Source organism: Homo sapiens, chromosome 21, assembly GCF_000001405.40.
Source record: "Homo sapiens chromosome 21, GRCh38.p14 Primary Assembly".
Classification (NCBI taxonomy): Eukaryota; Metazoa; Chordata; class Mammalia; order Primates; family Hominidae; genus Homo; species Homo sapiens.
This window is the reverse complement of record NC_000021.9, coordinates 38405507-38424441: the sequence shown is the minus strand read 5'-3', so window position 1 is coordinate 38424441 and position 18935 is coordinate 38405507. Positions and strand designations below refer to the sequence as shown.

The 18935-nt window shown below is 41.2% G+C and overlaps 1 protein-coding gene across 9 annotated transcripts in view; it reads left to right on the top strand.

Annotated features, from left to right (window-relative positions):
- The window catches only part of ERG (ETS transcription factor ERG), a 294523-nt gene that overhangs the window by 237342 nt on the left and 38246 nt on the right, over positions 1-18935 (top strand). For all 9 annotated transcript variants that reach the window (NM_001243432.2, NM_004449.4, NM_001136154.1 and 6 more), the window contains one exon: positions 881-1032. In NM_001243432.2, coding sequence (NP_001230361.1) covers positions 881-1032 — 152 coding nt within the window. The remainder of the gene's footprint in view (positions 1-880; positions 1033-18935) is intronic.

Genomic DNA, 18935 nt, shown 5'->3' with positions numbered 1-18935 from the left:
TCTGTGCATCTAGCCAGTATGGGCACTGTCCTAGCCTGTGCAGGCTGCCTTCACAGAGCCCCACAGACTGGCTGGCTGAAACAATGGGACTCGAGCTTGCATACTTCTGGAGGTTGGAAGTCTAAAATCAGACACCAGCAGGGCCAGTCTCTGGTGAGGTCTCTGTCCTTGGGTTGCAGATGGCCTGGCCACCTTCTTGCTCTGCCCTTACATGGCAGAGAGAGAGAGAGAGAGAGAGAGAGAGAGAGAGAGAGCTCGAGCTCTGGTCTCTTTCTTTTCTAATAAGGGCACTAATCCCATCGTGGGACTCTACCCTCATGACCTCATCAAACTGAAATTACCTCCCAAAGGCTCTCTCTCCTAATATCATCACATTGGGAGTTAGGGCTTCAAAATATGCATTTCGGGAGGACAGAAGGCAAGGCCTGTTTTCGGCATTTCTTTTCTTTTCTTTTCTTTTTTGTTTTGAGATGGAATCTTACTCTGTCGCCAGTCTGGAGTGCAGTGGCATGATCTCAGCTCACTGCAACCTCCACCTCCCGGATTCAAGCAATTTTCCTGCCTCAGCCTCCTGAGTAGCTGGGACTACAGGCATGCCCAGCTAATTTTTGTATTTTTAGTAGAGACGGGGTTTCACCATGTTGGCCAGGATGGTCTGGATCTCTTGACCTCATGATCCGCCCACCTCGGCATCCCAAAGTGTTGGGACTACAGGCATGAGCCACGGCACCCCGCCTGTATTTGGCTTTTCACACTTGTCCTTTCTCCCCCAGTCTCTTCCGCCTTGCCCTTCTTTGGTTCTCTCTGTGTATTGTGAGAAGTCGATGGAGACATGCTCTTTGATTGCTGTTATAATGGAAGAATATTTCTTCTCCTCCAGGAACTCTCCTGATGAATGCAGTGTGGCCAAAGGCGGGAAGATGGTGGGCAGCCCAGACACCGTTGGGATGAACTACGGCAGCTACATGGAGGAGAAGCACATGCCACCCCCAAACATGACCACGAACGAGCGCAGAGTTATCGTGCCAGCAGGTCAGGTGCCCACAGCTTCACTGCCCTCGGCAGATCGCAACTTCCCCAAGGCTAGGCTGAGCCTCAGGGAGCTCTTCTCCCCCACCTGTGGCATTGATCACATCTCCTTTGTCCAGAGCAGGGCTTGTAAATGGGAGCTGGCAGAGGTCTATGCATGAGGACATGTTCACGGATCGACAGCAAAGCAAGAAAAATACACCTGTATTTAAAAATACAAATATTTAAAAAATATGTGAGACAGCAGTATGTAGCCCCAGCTCTTTATTTTGCCACATAGAGAAAAATACACACACACACACACACACACACACACACACACACACACTACGTATGGAGAGAGACAGAGAGAAAGAGGATGTCCAGGCAAACATGCAGCCTTGCTTGTGTGCACACACATATGCACACGTGTGTATATGTCTATGAAAGGTGACCTTTCTAGGGAGGAATTGCCACTTCTTGGAGATTATTGTTCCAAATATCCTGTCCTTCATGAGGTACTATTTATGATAGATGATAGACTTGTTTGTTTTTAAAATTCTCTTATCTGGAAAAATAAACATGTGGGAGCCATATATTATATGGCTGTCTTACGTGTTCCCTTAAGCATCTAAAATTCCAGCTATCACTGGCCTGTAATACAGATTCTAATAACCAGAGTAACTCTTTACCACAAACATAATTCAAAACCAACCCAAAGGAATAGCTCTTGAACTTGAAAGACGTGACAAGAACTTATTTATTTAGCCAAACTAAAGGTAATAGAAAAAATGACTTAAAGCTCCTCAGAGGATACATGCTACCTAAAGCCAGAAATATAAGAACAACAGCAACAGTCACCAGTCAGTGAACCTTTACCCTACAGGAGGCATTTGGATAAATGCTTTAGAAACGTGATCTCAAGCAATCTTTGCAAATGGACATCTTTCTCATGATTTCCCTGATGAGGAAGATGAAGTTCAGAGAGGTCCACCAACTTTTCCAAGGGCATTAGGCTAATAAGAGGCCAAGTTAGGACTCAGGCAGGTCTGCCTTACTCCTTTAGTCTCTGCCTGTTGGCATTGGATTAAATCTCAGCTGCTTACAGCAATTTCTGTGGGTTCCCTCCTGTTACTTGTTTCAGCCATCTGGTCACCCTGCGGTCCTGCCTCAGGGATTTGAATTTGGCGTCAGCTCAGCCTGAAACCCTTAATTCCAGGTAGTTCCATATCATTTTCCTTCACCAAGTATCCGTGCCAATGTCATGGCCTCAGGGAGGCCAGTCCTGAGCACTTCCGTCTGGAATTGCTCTCGTCTCCACCTGTGACTGCCAGTCTCCTGTTGGCCTGATTTTTCTTGATTTCATTCATTCCCTTCTGCCATTATATTGCATGTTTATGTAAAAGTTTTCTTACTGGCCAGCCATGGTGGCTCACACCTGTAATCCCAGCACTTTGGGAGGCTGAGGCAGGAGAATCGCTTGAACCAGAGAGGCAGAGGTTGCAGTGAGCCAAAATTGTGCCATTGCACTCCAGCCTGGGCGACAAGAGCAAGACTCCGTCTCAAAATAATAAAAATAAAAAAATAAAAAGTTTTCTTATTATCCTCTTCCCTGAATGGAACATAAGCCCCACAAAGGCCCTATCTCCAGGGCCAGTTGCAGTGCCTGGTAAGTGGGAGGTGCTCAGTGAATATTAAGGGAGGTGGAGAATGGATGAACGGACACCTCACCACTGAGCTGCACTGTACAAGTTACTCCTTGTTGGCAAAGTAGCCAAGGGCATGCATGGGTGAAATCTGCACAAACTCAATTCTCCCTTGCTCCTGGGGTCACCTAAATTAATATCTGCGAAGTGTGATGGCAAACAGGTTAGATTCCCTCCATGGTGTGACTTTCCCTTTACCTGAGTTGGATCATGCCCAGTGGGCTTCTGTCACCTTCTAGACAGAAGAGTTCAGGAGTGCAGGGTACTTTGCAAAACATCTGGCCTGGATTTGAATCCCAGGTTTCAGCTTAGATCTGTCACCATGTGACTTTCAGCAAACACGTAAAGCTGGTTCGATGCAGTGGGGTGTGAAAGGGACCATCCTTTGGGGTTGTGCCTGATTTCAAAGCATTTTTTAAGACTTACAGGAGACACTGATGGTAGATTACGAAAGGGAGAAAACCGTCCTTAGTATTTACTGAAAGGCAGTTGACAGGTACAGAGGCCATGCATTTGGTTTGATCTTGACAATGCACCTGAATGCCTGAGACTGCCTCACTTGCTGCTGTGCCTCAGAACAGGGGGCTGTTCCTGTTGGATGGGAAAAATAGAAACACAAATGTCCCAGGTGCCCACTCCAGATGTGTGGCACATAAGAAAAACTCGAAGGCTAGGATGTGCCTGGAGGAGAGGCAGGAGGGCAGTGGTGTGTTGCCCAGACACTCTCTGGGCATGAACAAAGTGAAGTAGACACCCAAAGGAAGCCCCCTAACCCATCTCACCCTTTGCCCTCCTCCTTAAGAATGTAATTTCTTCAAAGGAGACAAAACAAAGTGTTTAGATCTCAAAGATGAGAGAATCCATCTGAGGGGGCCTGCACTGAAGATTCCTTGCTTGGTTCCTCATTGAATCACAGATGTAAGAGGTAATGCCTGGTACCATCTTCTAACTGGTGAGGCTGTATTTCCATGAGGCCATCAATATGCTTTGATGTCATAAATATCCTTTTCAGTAGGGCCAGACTTGAGTCTTTCTACACTAAGGAAAGTATTTAGAAAATAAGAGAGATATTTGTGTGGGGAAGAGAACAGAGAATCAACTGAAGTCAGAGCACCCAGGATTTTTTATACATAGTAGCTGCTCATCAAATATTAGCTGGATGGATGCAAGGATAGCTCTGCAAATTGGCTTATAGTAAGCTTTGATGTGAAGGCTGTTTCCTTTCTTTGGAGCAAAGTACTCTTCTCTTCAGCTCTTCCCTCCTTCAGTTGCTTCACGCCAGTGTAGGCAGTTATTCAGTTAATAGTGTTTGTAAGAGAGCTAGTTGTGGCTGATTTTGCAAGTTGTGAGTCTTTCAGTTATTGGTCAAGCTTCATGTATGTGTGCTCATACACACACAGAGATGAACACACACACACACACACGCACACACACACACAGCTTCATTGCACAATCTGGACAATTTTCCAATGTGGCCATGAGGTTGCAGGACCTCAGGCAGCTGTACCAGCTGCTGTATCCATCCCCATGGTATCCAGGCACCTCACTAAGGCAGATTTGGGGCACGGAGTACCCCATGTGTGCAAAAAGAATTCTCCAGACCTGGTCCTGAGTGGTTCACATAGACCTTACTACTTAGAGACATTGCTTGGCACTAATGCAAATCACACGGATAGCTGAGTGAAAAAAAAAAAAACCATCAGTTATTCCTAAACATTTGTACCATCATCAATACATGCCGATGTTTACACACTAGAGATAGCAGTGGCCCTAATAAACACTGATGAGGAAATTTGTACTGTACGGAGACTGAGAGATAAAACCACAGAGGAGCTGGGGGGCTTTGTCCGTGTTCAGATTGGGTTCTGGTACCTGGAACCCACTTTTGAGAAGCGATTCCCTCAACCCTGGTTTTGATACTCATGATCTTGAGTTAATAAAGAAGCCCATAAAAAAAGTGTCAAAAAAAAGCCCATAAGAAAGTGTCAACTAGAAAATGTCCCTGAAGGATAAATGTAGACTGTCACTTGATATATTTACACTGCCTCCTATTTCAGAACAGATTTAAGAAAGCTCACATAGATACATATGAAAGAGCACGGTAGAATCCACTTTTTAAAAATAAAGGAATGTGGAGAATGGACTAAAGTAAAAATTGAACAGAGAGAGTAAAACCAGGAGTGAGGTTTACACGCACGTGTGTGTGTGTGTATGTGTATTTTTAATTGCAACATTTAAATATTGCAGAATTGCAAAAGGTAGGTGTTATTTGGCTTCGAGGTATCATCAGGCAGTATGAAAGGGATAATTCAGTGCCTACAGGATAAAAAGAAAGCAAATGTGAAAAGATGGTCCAGCTATTAATTCTGAGTCTGGAGGAAGATGTGTTCCTCTGTTTGTCCTAAGGAAGATAAGGGGAGTCATGAGCAAAGCATTCAACCAGTAGCGCCACCAGGCATTCTGGGCAGCCCTGGTTTGTGCCTGTTGTTCTGGCAAGACTGTTGATTGTGCCTTCCCAAAGGGTACTGGTTAGGCCATAATTCCCATCTCTGGTTTTTATCTATGTATTTGGTGCGAGTATCTGTAAATCTAGGAGGATCTCTCATAGGGCAGGGCAGTCTCTTACACTGTCGTAAACCCAAGTGTCATTCAGTGAAACCAGTTGTAATAAGAGGGGCCTGACAAGTGTGACATCCCCCATGCTGGTTACATGGCTCTTTTTTGGCCGAGCTTAATTTGGAGGTTGACTAGAAAGTGTTTTTCTTTTTCTTTCTTTCTTTTTTTTTTTTTTTTTTTTTTTGAGACAAAGTCTCGCTCTTGTTCCCCAGACTGAATTGCAATGGCAGGATCTCAGCTCACTGCAACCTCTGCCTCCCAGGTTCAAGTGATTCTCCTGCCTCAGCCTCCTGAGTAGCTGGGATTACAGGCGCCCGCCACCACGCCAGGCTAATTTTTGTATTTTTAGTAGAGATGGGGTTTCGCCATGTTTGCCAGGCTGGTCTCAAACTCCTGACCTCAGGTGATCCGCCCACCTCGGCCTCCCAAAGTGCTGGGATTACAGGCATGAACCACCACGCCTGGCCTAGAAAGTGTTTTTCAAAGTATGGTCAGAACCACTTGTATCAAGATTACCTGGAAAATTTATGATTAAAAATACACATTTCCTGCCAGTCACAGTGGCTTACACCTGTAATCCCAGCACTTTGGGAGGCCAAGGAGTTCAAGACCAGCCTGGACAACATAGTGGGACCCCATTTCTACAAAAAATTTTAACATTAGCCAGGTGTAGTGGTGGTTCCTGTAGTCCCAGCTACTTGGGAGACTGAGGCGGGAGGATTCTTTGAGCCCAGAAGTTTGAGGCTGCAGTGAACCATGATTGCACCACTTCACTCCCACCAGGAAGCCAGAGTGAGACCCTTTCCCAGACACACACACACACACACACACACACACACACTTCCAAATGTTCCAAACCTGGGTGTGGGGTTGGAAATTTTACATTATTAACATGCTTATTGTGTATGTAATTTTCATGTACAATAAGGTTGAAAAGTTCTAATCTAGATAGAAGATATAAATTTTACTTTAATAGACTTGAATTATTTTTAATAAAGATATGGTTTATCACTTTTAGAAAAGGCAAGTAGACAAAAAGGAAAGATAGAAATGATTAACAGTATCACATTAACATTCCAAAAAAAAATGAAGAATCACTCATTGCAGTAGTTACTGTTACTCTTTAGGTGTTGGCTGTGAACATGGAGATGTGCTAACCAAGTGGCTAACAAAGAGGAAGGCACAGGCTCCATTCACTTCTTAAAAGTTGCAAAATGCTGACCAAAATGCAATAGGACCTCTCGCTTTAGCAGCTTATAGCATTTTGAAAGATTTCTCTTTTTCTGTTTTTTTATTATTATTTTTTATTTATTTATTTATTTTGAGATGGAGCCTCGCTCTGTTGCCCAGGCTGGAGTGCAATGGCGCGGTCACGGCTTACTGCAACCTCTGTCTCCTGGGTTCAAGCAATTCTCCTGCCTCAGCCTCCTGAGTAGCTGGGATCTCAGGCGCCTGCCACCACAGCCAGCTAATTTTTGTATTTGTAGTAGAGACGGGGTTTCACCATGTTGGCAAGGCTGGTCTCAAACTCCTGACCTCAGATGATCCACCCACCTCGGTCACCCAAAGTGCTGGGATTACAGGCGTGAGCCACCGGGCCTGGCCTCTTTTTCTGTTTTAATTCCTTAAAATAGGTGCTAAAGTGTTGAGTTTTTCAAATGCCTCTGCTTCTATTTTTAAAATAATTCACTTTCAGCATAGACCCTTGCAATAATCAGTAATCTCAGAGATAAGAGTAGCCACATTCTTCTCTTCACTGTATCTCTTCACTTTCTTCATTATTAATTCATTCATTAAACTCTTACTGTGTTCCATTCACCGTGAATAAAAGCTCTAATGAGATTTAAAATCACCTTTTCTTGCCCACCAAACATGTGTGGCTGAAGCTACATGACTTGTGTCTTACTCAGACCCCTGTGCTAGGACCTTTCTATTCCGTTAGAAAGTGTTCATGGAGTTCCCATTACTCTTAATCACTGAGGAGATGACCGAAGGCTGTCAGAAGTAGCTAAGACCCACCCATGTGGGGTAAGTAGTTTTTGACAGACAGGAGAAGGTGTGATTGAGAGCTCAAATGAATGACTCAGACCAGTATTTCAGAGCATGTGAGGAATGGAGATTGCTATGACAGGACGAATCAAGAACAGCTTCATTTATACCCACGATGATGTGATTTCGAAAGCCCTTTGCAGCCTCTGCCGTTTTCCTCTGCCACATCCCCAACTCACGCGCTGCATTTTCACCACCCGGTGTCCTTGTCCCTGCGGTTCCCTCTCTGGAATGCTCTTGCTCATTCTTCCAGACATCTTCAAAATCTGCCCTGTCAAGGGAGCCATGCTTGATCCTCTGGCAAATTAATCACTCCTCTTATGACATCTTACCAATTATTTTGTTATCATACTTTATTTTGTTTCATATTGTATTCTCAAATGCATGTATATACTTACTTAAATGTGGATATTCTGCAAAGGATTTGAGGTGCCGTGTGAACTAAACTACTGATGGGCTTATACCCAATTGACTTATCAAATGGAAATTAGGAATCAGTGCTAAGGCAGTTAAAAATACAAATGAGAAGCCAAGAGCATGTGAGGGAAGAATGCAGCCATTTTGACCACAAGCTTGCCCAAGATGCTGTACTTAAGTTTCTAGTATGGCTTTGAGCTTCCTGGCAGCCAAAATGAAAAGAGTTATTTGGGGAAATAATTTTTCCTTTCAAAAAAGAAGTTTCACAGGGAAGGCAATGTTTATCATAGTGTAGAATCCTAAAAGAAGGATCCCTTTTGGGGCCACTGGGGCCATAGACCTGACCATCGACCGTCTTCCTGCCACAGTTGCAGCACTGCATTTCAACAGCTTATTTCTTGTGACATCTTCTGTGAGCGCTGAGTTACATTAGAGAATAGCTCAGCACAGGTAGAGGACAGACACCCAGCATGAGTCTTTGGCAGTCTGATTTCATGTAAAGAAGGGATCTTGAGTTCTCAGAGTGTTAGAGGACTGCATAGTTTCCACATGATCCTCCCTAAATATTGACATTCCCCCACTGGGCTTTGAAAGCCAGTGAATAACAAGTAATAGAACATACCCTCCGACCAAGCCCTGATGGCTGATATATTATGTTTCCAATCCTCTTAGCGTGAGTTATTTATAAGCCTGTCTGTTCTATTAGATTGTAAGTTTAGTGAGGTGATGATCATGTCTTTTGTGTTCTCAATCGCCAGACAACACAGCCAGCACTTGGATTCTGTGTGGAGGAGAGTAAATGTGATTTATCAAGTTAACAGTAATCTAGATCTAACTAGCAGGAATCGCAGACTCGCAGGGGTTGCAGGATTCTTGGTGGTCTAAGTTCAGTCTTCCTTTAAACATGAGAAAACCAAGACTGAGAGAGGTGAAATGACTTTCCCGGGAACACTTGCACAACTGGGTGAGACCAGAGCCTATTCTCAGGCCCAGAACCTGCTGGTGAAATGACTTGTGTCTTCATCTTTCTTTGTTACGTCCCTGAACACACCCGAGGATCTCTTCCACTCTGTCGATATGATGGGACATGCTTCTTTAATCTTCTGTTTAAATTCCTGCTATGCTCAAACAACTAAATAACAAAACCCACTAAAATAGAAATGCTAACATCAAAGTTTATTATGTGTATTTTAAAGTTATCAGCTGAATAGCGGTTGAGGAAACCACCATTGGGTTAAATGTGAGGCTAAAATCAAGTCATTTTTCTAAAAAGCAACGACAGCTACTATCTATTGATATGCACTGTTGTCAGGCACTTGGACATGCACTTTGTAGAAAAGGCATTATCTCATTTAAATCATGCGACCACCCTATGATGTAGGTACTCATTATCATTCTCACTCGACAGTAAAGAAACTAAAACTAGGAACGCTAAGAGAGTTGCCAAATATGTCACAGCCAATCATTTGAAGAGCCAGGATTCGAACCCAGTTCTTTCTGACTCCACAGTCTGGGTTCTTCTTCCTAAGCTGTGCTGACAAAAATACCCAGGGGAGAACACAGGAATGGGATGAGAGAATGTGTTTGTTAAATTGTTGTAGACATTCTGCAACAGCCTTTTCAAATAAGACTTAAGTAAACAAAGGAGGTGGAGAGGGAATTTTGTAAAATAATCTACTGTGTTGCCCAGGGCTAATTTTTACATTTCTACAGTGCTAATGATGTTATCTGTTTTTCTTGAAAGTCAAAGAGAAGAATGGAATTGAAGACAGCTTAGATTTAGCATGAGCAGCTGGGTAGGTGTTAATGAATATACAAAAAAAAAATGTTTAAAATAGGTGATTTCAGTTTGGTTCATCCTGTGTTTAAGATGCTTCTGGGACACCTGTCAGGCAGTGTGGTGGGCCTAGAGCTCAGGATGGAAAGTCCTTGATCGGGAGTCACAGCACTTGAGTTCTAAACTCTGCCATGTACTAACTGTGGGATCTGGGAAGCTACTTAATCTTGCTGTTTCTCAGGTTTTTCATCACCAAAATATGGATGATAATAATTCCTACTTCATGTGGTGCTATATGGATTAAATATAGCAATATGTGTGACATGCTTAAACAGTACCTGGGATAAAAAGTGCAGTTCTTCTGTTTATATTTGGGTCTGGCATCTGTGAGAGTGCCCTGGGGACTCAAGATATAGACTGGCAGAAACAGCTGCCTGTTACAGGTTAAAAAATTGTGCCTCCCTCACAAGATATGCTGAAGTCCTAACCCCCAGTTCCTTAGAATGTGACCTTATGTGGAAATAGAGGTTTTGCAGATTTAATCAAGTTAAGATGAGGTCATTAGGGTGAGCCTAATAAAATGACTGGTGTCCTTACACAAAGGAGAAATTTGGACATAGACACACACAGAGGGAAGATGATATGGAAACACAGAGGGAGAACTCCATGTGAAGACAGGCAGAGGTTGGACTGATGCAACTGCAAGCAATGGAACATTCAATTGCTGGACAGCACCAGAAGCTAGAAGAGCCAAGGACAGATTTTATCCACAGTCTCGGATGGAGCAAGGCCTTGCTGATACCTTGATTTCAGACTTTGATCCTCCAGAACTATGAGACGATGAATTTCTGTTGTTTCTAAGCCACACATTTTGTGGTACTTGGTTACGGCAGCCCTAGGAAAATAATACAGCATGCATGTTATAGTTCAAACATGAGAGCAAATAAGAATGCCCAAAGATACATATGGAGAGAGGAGAGGGGTAGACCAAGGATGAAACTCTGGGGATAGCAACATTTAAAGAGAAGACAAAGAAAGAAAACCCAGGCAGGGAGAAACCTTTATGTGGAACAAGCCATTGCATTTCTAAAACATGATGAGCACACACAATGTTGTCATGGAATAACAGGAGGCAACAACAACAAAAGAAAACAAAGAACAATAACGATCATTATCCAAAAACAAGATGATTACTTGAGAATGGTTTCATCCAGAGAAATAAATCAGTGTGTCAGAATGACAAAGCTATGTTTAGAGCCTAACAAAAATAATTTAGTCATGTATTTTTAAATAAAATACACAGAATTGTAGATTCTCAAACAAGTAGAGGACAGGCACTCTTTCTTGCCATTTTTGAATCTTTCATAGAGGATTATACAATTCATATAAGTAATTTTTGACAATTGATTAATTAATAAATGAATGAAGTAAAGCATAACATGAGTTAGGATGATGGCTGCATTAAAAATGAAAACTATTCAAAGTAAATAGGTAAAAAGTATGCAGAGAGGGCTCTTGGTTCTAGTAAAATAGAGAGGTTACTATAAAAGGACCTGAGAAACATTCCTTTTGCAAAACACCTGGAATTGCTGCATGGAGTTTAACATCCTTTTAAATGCACAGCTGAACTGGGAAGAAAGGCAATGAACTCCTTAGGGACTAAAATAAGGAAAAAAGTGAGAATAGAGCAGAGCAGCACATTCTTATGTTGACACCTGGTTGTCCTAGGTTGCTATAATGCAGAGATTTGGGTTTTAAAGGTCAACTAGGGGCAAGGAATGAAATCTTGAGCTTCCACAAAGCAGAGAATTGGAACTGAGCCTGTCATTACCCGAGTCCCCACCCCATACACACAACAGTGTGTGCCAGGAACTCTAAGGCTGAGAAATTAATACAGAAAAATGGTCATGGGCTAGTGATAATCTGGGAAACCTGGCAGAAGTAAATACGAAATCTTCATGGAGAGACATGTCTTCAACCTACGCTGTACAGAATTCCTGCAGATAGAGACCCGCTAAAGATGACTCTGCCACCCGCAAATTACAAAAAAATAGCTGAAGAGAGATCTCCCCCAACCAAGATTTAACAGAAACAATGAACATGATTAAGCAGAAGGTTAAATAATTAAAGTATTGGATAAAGAGTATAAAATAAATAAACTTTTTAAATATTAAGGAAGAACATAAAAGAAGGAGTTAAAAAGAGAGTTTGTTGCTAATTGAACCTCACTTCAGATAATAACAAAAGATTTAATTTAAAAAATGGATCCTAGAAGAAGGGAGTGAGATACAGGAAGGAAATGGGAGCAATGAAATTGATTAAGGTGAGGGTAGATCTAGAAAGAAATGGCTGTAAAATGACAACCACAGCCTCCCTAAGTAGGGAGTAGAAAATTCAGTGGAGTAAAAATATGAGGGAACATTGTCATGTAAAATCAGAGATGGATGATTCAAGTATAAGCTTTCTAAATTACTGGTAATTAAACTTAGATTTTGTTTAAAGATTAACAGGAAAGAGAACTAGAATGTCAAAGAGCAAAACCAATACAGAAACAAAGAAAAAAAAGTGAATGAAGAAAAGTAGATCAATCTGATTAGACACTTGGCAAGGAGAAATAGAGAATGGACTAAGAAAGTTTAACATAAAGCACAAAATAAGATGGTAAAAATCAGATAGATCAGTGATAATAAGTGTAGATAGACCAAATTTGCCATTAAAGACAGAGAGTGATAGACTAGACTAAAAAATACTCCACAATCAGTTATGGGTTGTTTACAAAAAAATCTTGCACAAACAAAGATTGAGAGTTGACAGAATAAGATACGCTAGTGAAAATTGAATTTTTAAAAAGCTGACAAAAATAGAAATAGAAAGCAGACTAAATATACTTTCAGGCAGAAAGCATAACTGGAGATAATTGAGGGTCATTACATAGTGAAAAAAGGCTAAATTCATGACAAATATATAATAATGATAAACTTACATGTACCTAATAACATAGCCTTGAAATATGTAATGAACTGCAAAAAGAAATAGTCAAGTCCAATTTAGTGAGATATTTTAATTTGCATTTCTCAGTAATTGATAGGTCAGTGACATTAAAATTAAATACACCTTACCAAGAGTTTTTTTTCTAGAACTCTGTACTCCCAAATTAGAGAATATGCATTTCTTAAGCAATCAAGGAACATTTATAAAAACTGACCATGCACTAGGCCGCCAAAAGAGTAACAAACCGGAACTTTTTAAAAAGCTAATTTCAGCTGGGCATGGTGGCTCACGCCTGCAATCCCAGCACTTTGGGAGGCCGAGGTGGGTGGATCACCTAAGGTCAGGAGTTCCAGATCAGCCTGGACAACATGGTGAAACCCCATCTCTATTAAAAATACAAAAATTAGCCACGATGGTGGTGGGTGCCTGTAATCCCACCTATTCGGGAGGCTGAGGCAGTTGAACCTGGGAGGCAGAGGTTGCAGTGAGCCCAGATCATGCCACTGCTCTCCAGCCTAGGTGACAGAGCGAGACACTATCTCAAAAAAATAAAATAAAATAAAATGTTAATTTCATACAGACTCTATTCACTGGCCAACGTGCAATAAAATTAGAAATCAATACCAAAACAATAAATGAACTCTACATATAAGTTAGAAATTTAAAAGGCTCAGAAACAGTCTTGAGGTAGGCTCTTTATTTGAGATCAAATTTCCATTTGTGATGGAGTGAATCATTGCTCAAATTTAAGCCAGTTCTCTCTATTGGGCCTGCTTTATAAATGTAACTTCTGTCCTCCTGAGGATGCAAGATGTTAAATCTTATTTTTGCAGGCTTATGAGTGTCTTGGACAGCAGATTGGCTGACTTGCCCAGGGCCTGGATTTATAAACAAACACCTCACTAGGCTTGTGATATGGCTTAGAGGTACATTTTAGTTTTTATTTTTTGATGTTTTTTTCATAACCAAGAGTAATTTTTTTCTTTTGGGAAGCCAATATTTTACGTTGATATTATTTAAGAAAAATAACATTCAGGACTTTCATTATCACCAGTTTGGCTTTTATTTAATCTTACTTTATTCATTTCTCTAGAGGGGCCTCTGAAAGAAGATGTTTGCCTGTGTGAGGCATTTTGTTTCACAAAGGCACAGTTTGTCTTTGGCGATGCAGTGCCCCTTTGCCTGATTTAAATATCTACTCAATATTTTCCTGGCAACAGGGGAACTCTACTAGGTCAGAATCCTGTTTCATGGAAATATTTTTTTTAAATGTCAGCCTTCCTCCCTCCCTCCCACTGCTTATACCCCCACTCCCACTCCACATACAGAGTACATTAACAGTACAACTCCAGAACTCTGTGTGTAATGGTTTACTTTTATTTGTTTTTTAAATTCCAATTTACCAAAGTAGATTTCATAATAACCATGTAACTTAAGATACAAATAAGAGGCTTCAGAGAGTGATGGCTTCTGTTTAGCCTGTGCCATGACAGTTTACCATTTTGGTGTCCATGACATGTAGAATGATGACACAGATGTTTTCAAAACAATTGGAATGGAAGGCTGAAAATGAACAACTTATCTTCAATGGCTTATGATTCATCTGACAGAAGCATCTCCAAAAGTTTCTTAAAATAAAATTATAAATTGGACTTTTGTGTCTTAAGGAGGAGGCTGCCCCTGTGATAACAGATTTTGTTCTTATTCCATTTTAGCAGAGTTTGCAATGCAAAATCGAGTGTGTGGATGCATTCTTTTTTTGCAGTATGTTATTGTTGGCAAAGTGCTTTCACATCCATTATCTCATTTACTTTTCTATTCCCCTAACATTTCATTTAATTACCCACAGAAAAATATAAAACAAATTCCAGAGAGGTTGACGTTTACGTCCAGTAAATGGTTGAATAAGAATCCCAATGTGGGTATTTGGATTCCCAATAAAGCCTTTTATTTTCATCACCAAGTTTTCTGTGATTGGTGTTATTTAAGATTTTTAAAAATTTCTTAGAAATTTTCAATTACTCTGAAATCTCTAAAAATGAAAATCCAACCTTGTTAGCAAGACTCAAGGACCTTGTTGATCTGAGCCCAGCTTTCATCCCCATCCTCGTATGTTGCTGTGCTCTCTCTGAAATCCTCCACTGCAGCCACACCAAATTTCTCCCTTTTTCTTAAACATGTCAGATATTTCATGCCCATGTCGGATGAGGCTGGGCTAAGTGGTTCCCCTAAACCAAAGAGCTTCTCTCTACTTCTGTCAAAATCCTCGCTGTTAATCCAAGTTCACTCTCCTGGTAAGCCTTTCCCATTTTTCCTGGTTGGTGCTACCTCTCTGCACTTCCACTTCCTCCTTGGATCACGGAGTCTTTTTTTTTTTTTTTTTTTTTTTATGAGACGGAGTTTCGCTCTTGTTGCCCAGGCTTCTGGAGTGCAATGGCGCAATCTCGGCTTATCGCAACCTCTGCCTCCTGGATTCAAGCAATTCTCCTGCCTCAGCCTCCTGAGTAGCTGGCATTACAGGCATGCGCCACCACACCCGGCTAATTTTGTATTTTTAGTAGAGATGAGGTTTCTCCATGTTGGTCAGGCTGGTCTCAAACCCTTCACCTCAGGTGATCCACCCGCCTTGGCCTCCCAAAGTGCTGGGATTACAGGTATGAGCCACCACGCCCAGCCTGATCACAGAGACTTAGTTCTGCTTTGTGGTTGTGGTCATAAGCTGCCTCTCTCAGTGGGTCCTTAGTGTTTCTCTTGGTCTTGGACACTTTGGAATCTCCATAGTACTGGTGCATATAGCCATATGCATAATGCTTAATGACTTTTACTTGAATTAAATCTATCTTAGTTCTTATCCTATTCGAGTCATTTCTCAGGTCCTGAAATTCTCCACATTGTTTTACAGAAGAGAAAAATGAGGTCCAGTTATAAAATTAAATGACAGGTTCCAAACACACTGCTACCTGGAGACAAGAGGTGTTCCTACCTAGGGCAGAAGGTCGCACCTAAACATAGGCAAAGGTGATGCCTCGGCTGGGGCTTATGCTGTAGTCCCCTCCCCTTCCTCCTACACATGTGTGGTTGGGGTCAAGAAAGGAGGAAGACAGGCCTGCTGAATCTCATAGGAACTCATGAGCCCCTTTCTTTGATTCCTGGTGTGACAGAAGCCATAAAGCTTTGCTGAGATACCATGGAGTGTGGAGGAGACTAGAGAGACTACTGGGGCTCTTCATGGAGTTAAAAGGTTAGGACCAAAACCTGACAGCCTGGACCCAGTGCACTGACCTGAACTCTAAAAACCATCATCTACAGCTGCAGCATCATTGCCTGGCCAAAGTAGTGGAGGTGGAGTTCAGTGTGAGCAGAGACTAGGTCTTCAGTCTTGTTATCACTTCACTGCCCAGAGATTTGTTAAGTGTTTCCTCTGTGAGAACATCTAGGACAGATGCCCAAAGGAGGTCGTGAGTGTAGGTGAGGGCACAAGAAGGTGCTAGTCCTTCACGCTGTGGGTGGCATGTGGCACAGGCATGGAGGCATTGGCTCAGGAAATGTAGGGTGGAGGGGGAATGGTTGGGAATGACACCCATGGAACAAAGGACTGTGTGCTTCATGCTGGGGAATCTGGGTTTTTCCCCTGCAAACTGTCCTCTATTGCAACACCTCCGGAGTGGGTCTGGGAGAGTGGTGCGAGTGCTCAGGAGAAAAGGAATGCCCTCATTTCTTCTACCGAGTGGCCATGTTTTGTTTTCACCATTGTTTGCTTAGAAATTTATAGGGCAGAGGTGTGGAGATCAAATGCTAAAAGGATGTGGGAGTGTTCTGACTTCATGTAATTTTACTCTTTTCAGATGAAGCAGTCTATATTAACAAAATATAAAAGAAACTGAAACTTAACTTTTTATACTCTTGACAGCAATTTTATAAAAATACTTTCACATATATACTATATATAGGTAGTATATATAGCATATATGTAAGTATATATTCTATATATATTATATATTTTATTATTTTATAAAAATATTTTTATAAAGTATTTTAGTAGTTTTATTTTTTATACTTTTTATAAAATGCTTTGCATAGTTTCATTTTTTTAACTTTTCTTTTTGTTTTTTTACTTTTATTTTTTATACTTTTAAAAAATACTTTTTATAAAGTATTTAAAGTATTTTATAAAAATACTTTCACATATATTATATATAGGTGATATATAGTATACATATAATATACATTAAATATATATATACCTTTTGTAAGACCATGTTTTGGCTTTGAAAAATAGAGAATACATTTTGTATAAATAATTTGTAACCCAAGTATTCCATATTTATTATAGAAAAATGAGAAAATATAGTTTAGTGAAAATGACAAATCTAAAATTCCCCATCTCCTTTCCCTCAGTGACAACAGTTCACGTTTTGCTGTATCTCCCTCTGAATTTCTTTCTGTGCAGATATTTATATATCTTTGCAAAATACAATGATATCATAATAATATTTTGAAACTTTAAAATGCAATCTACTTTGAACATTTTATCATATCAATAAATATATTTCAACAGTGTAATTTTTAGTCTCTAAATATCACAGGAACATTCCTAAATGCATTACAAAACTGCTTCTCTTTTGCTGGACATTTAGGGTGTTTCCAATGTTTTGCTATTATAAACAACACTACAAAGAACATCCTTGACAATAAATCATTGCGCACATCCTCTATTATTTCCTTAGGATAAATTTCTAGAAATGGAATTTTTAAGCCAGGGAATCTGCACATATTTAAAGACGTTTGATTGTATTGTTGTGTTGTATTGTTGTATTATTGTGTTGTTCATCAGAAAGGCTGTAGTAATTTATACTCATATTGGCAGAACTCCGGAACTCCAGAACAGCCTTTTACCAACTCAAAGTGAGACTTGTAGAGATAAGTACAATACAGGTTGAGGACTTTGTCTCTGGGGTCTTGCACCTGATTCCCTTAAAGGAAAACTGAATGGGCCAGGATAACCCTTGTCTTGATGAGCGAAACCAATTAAGGGGCACACCAAGGGATAATAGAGAGATTAAACTTCTCCTTTCACCATTTTAACACGAACCTAGTGGCTTTCAGACAATATGTTTATGTGTCATTTTGAGAATATCCGGTTCCACCATTTAGAGAAGAAAGTCTGTTCCCAGAATGAACTTATTTCTAGGAAGTACAGTTGTTACATTAAAAAAAAAATAGTCCTCCCATTTTGTTAAAAGCAAAGCAAAACAAAACAAAAAGGTGGGTTTCGCTAACATCAAAGGATGGAACTTACAGGGAATGACTTGGGTAGGATGGGGGGTCTTCTCTCTGTGAGGGCTGAACAAACTATCCTCTGCACAGAACCAAAGGTAAAGAGAACTTGCCCTAAGACCTCAGTATGATCCATTTTTGTAGAAAGAGGAATTCTGACATGTCATGAAAAAAGAAACATTTTATCTCTGAAAGCCAAATTCTCAGCCAATGACGAAGAGTCATCTGAACTTCAGTGAACTGGATAACATTAACCTTCCATATCTACATTCAGTTTTCACAGACTAACAACATGTTTCCAAGTGTTTGGATGACAAATAAATATGTACACTTTTCTGTCATCACTGCCGTTGGAGTTTTTGTTGATATTCTCTCTGTAGCAAAACCAGAGTTCCCTTTAGTTTTCAGGTTCTGCGCACTGATGATTTTTTTTTTTTTTTTTTTTTGAGATGGAGTCTCGCTCTGTCGCTCAGGCTGGAGTGCAGTGGCCTGATCTTGGCTCACTGCAAGCTCCACCTCCCGGGTTCATGCCATTTTCCTGCCTCAGCCTCCCAAGTAGCTGAGACTACAGGCACCCGCCACCATGCCCGACTAATTTTTTTTTGTATTTTTAGTAGAGACAAGGTTTCACTGTGTTAGCCAGGATGGTCTCGATCTCCTGACCTCGTGATCCACCCGCCTCGGCCTCCCAAAGTGCTGGGATTACAGGCGTGAGCCACCGCGCCTGGCCTGTGCACTGATTTTTAAGTGAGAATGTGGGTGTTTAAATATTGGTAGACATCCAATGCTAGCTGGTCAAGTTGAAGATGGATGTGCCCTGTAACTCAGAAATCCCGTATCTAGGTACTCAGCCAAGGCCAGCGTGTCCCCAGGTTTCATGTGAAAATGTAGATTCTGGTTCAGCAGGTCTGGGTGGGGCCTGAGACTCAGCATTTCTAATTAGCTCCCAGGTGATGCTGATGCTTCCGCGGTTGGAGGACCACGCTTGGAATAGTGAGGCCCAGGGAAGATGATCTGAACCTTGGCTGCTCATTAGAGTCACCTGGGGGAGCTGTTATCAACTGTGATGCCCAACTGCCCTCCAGCCTAATTGA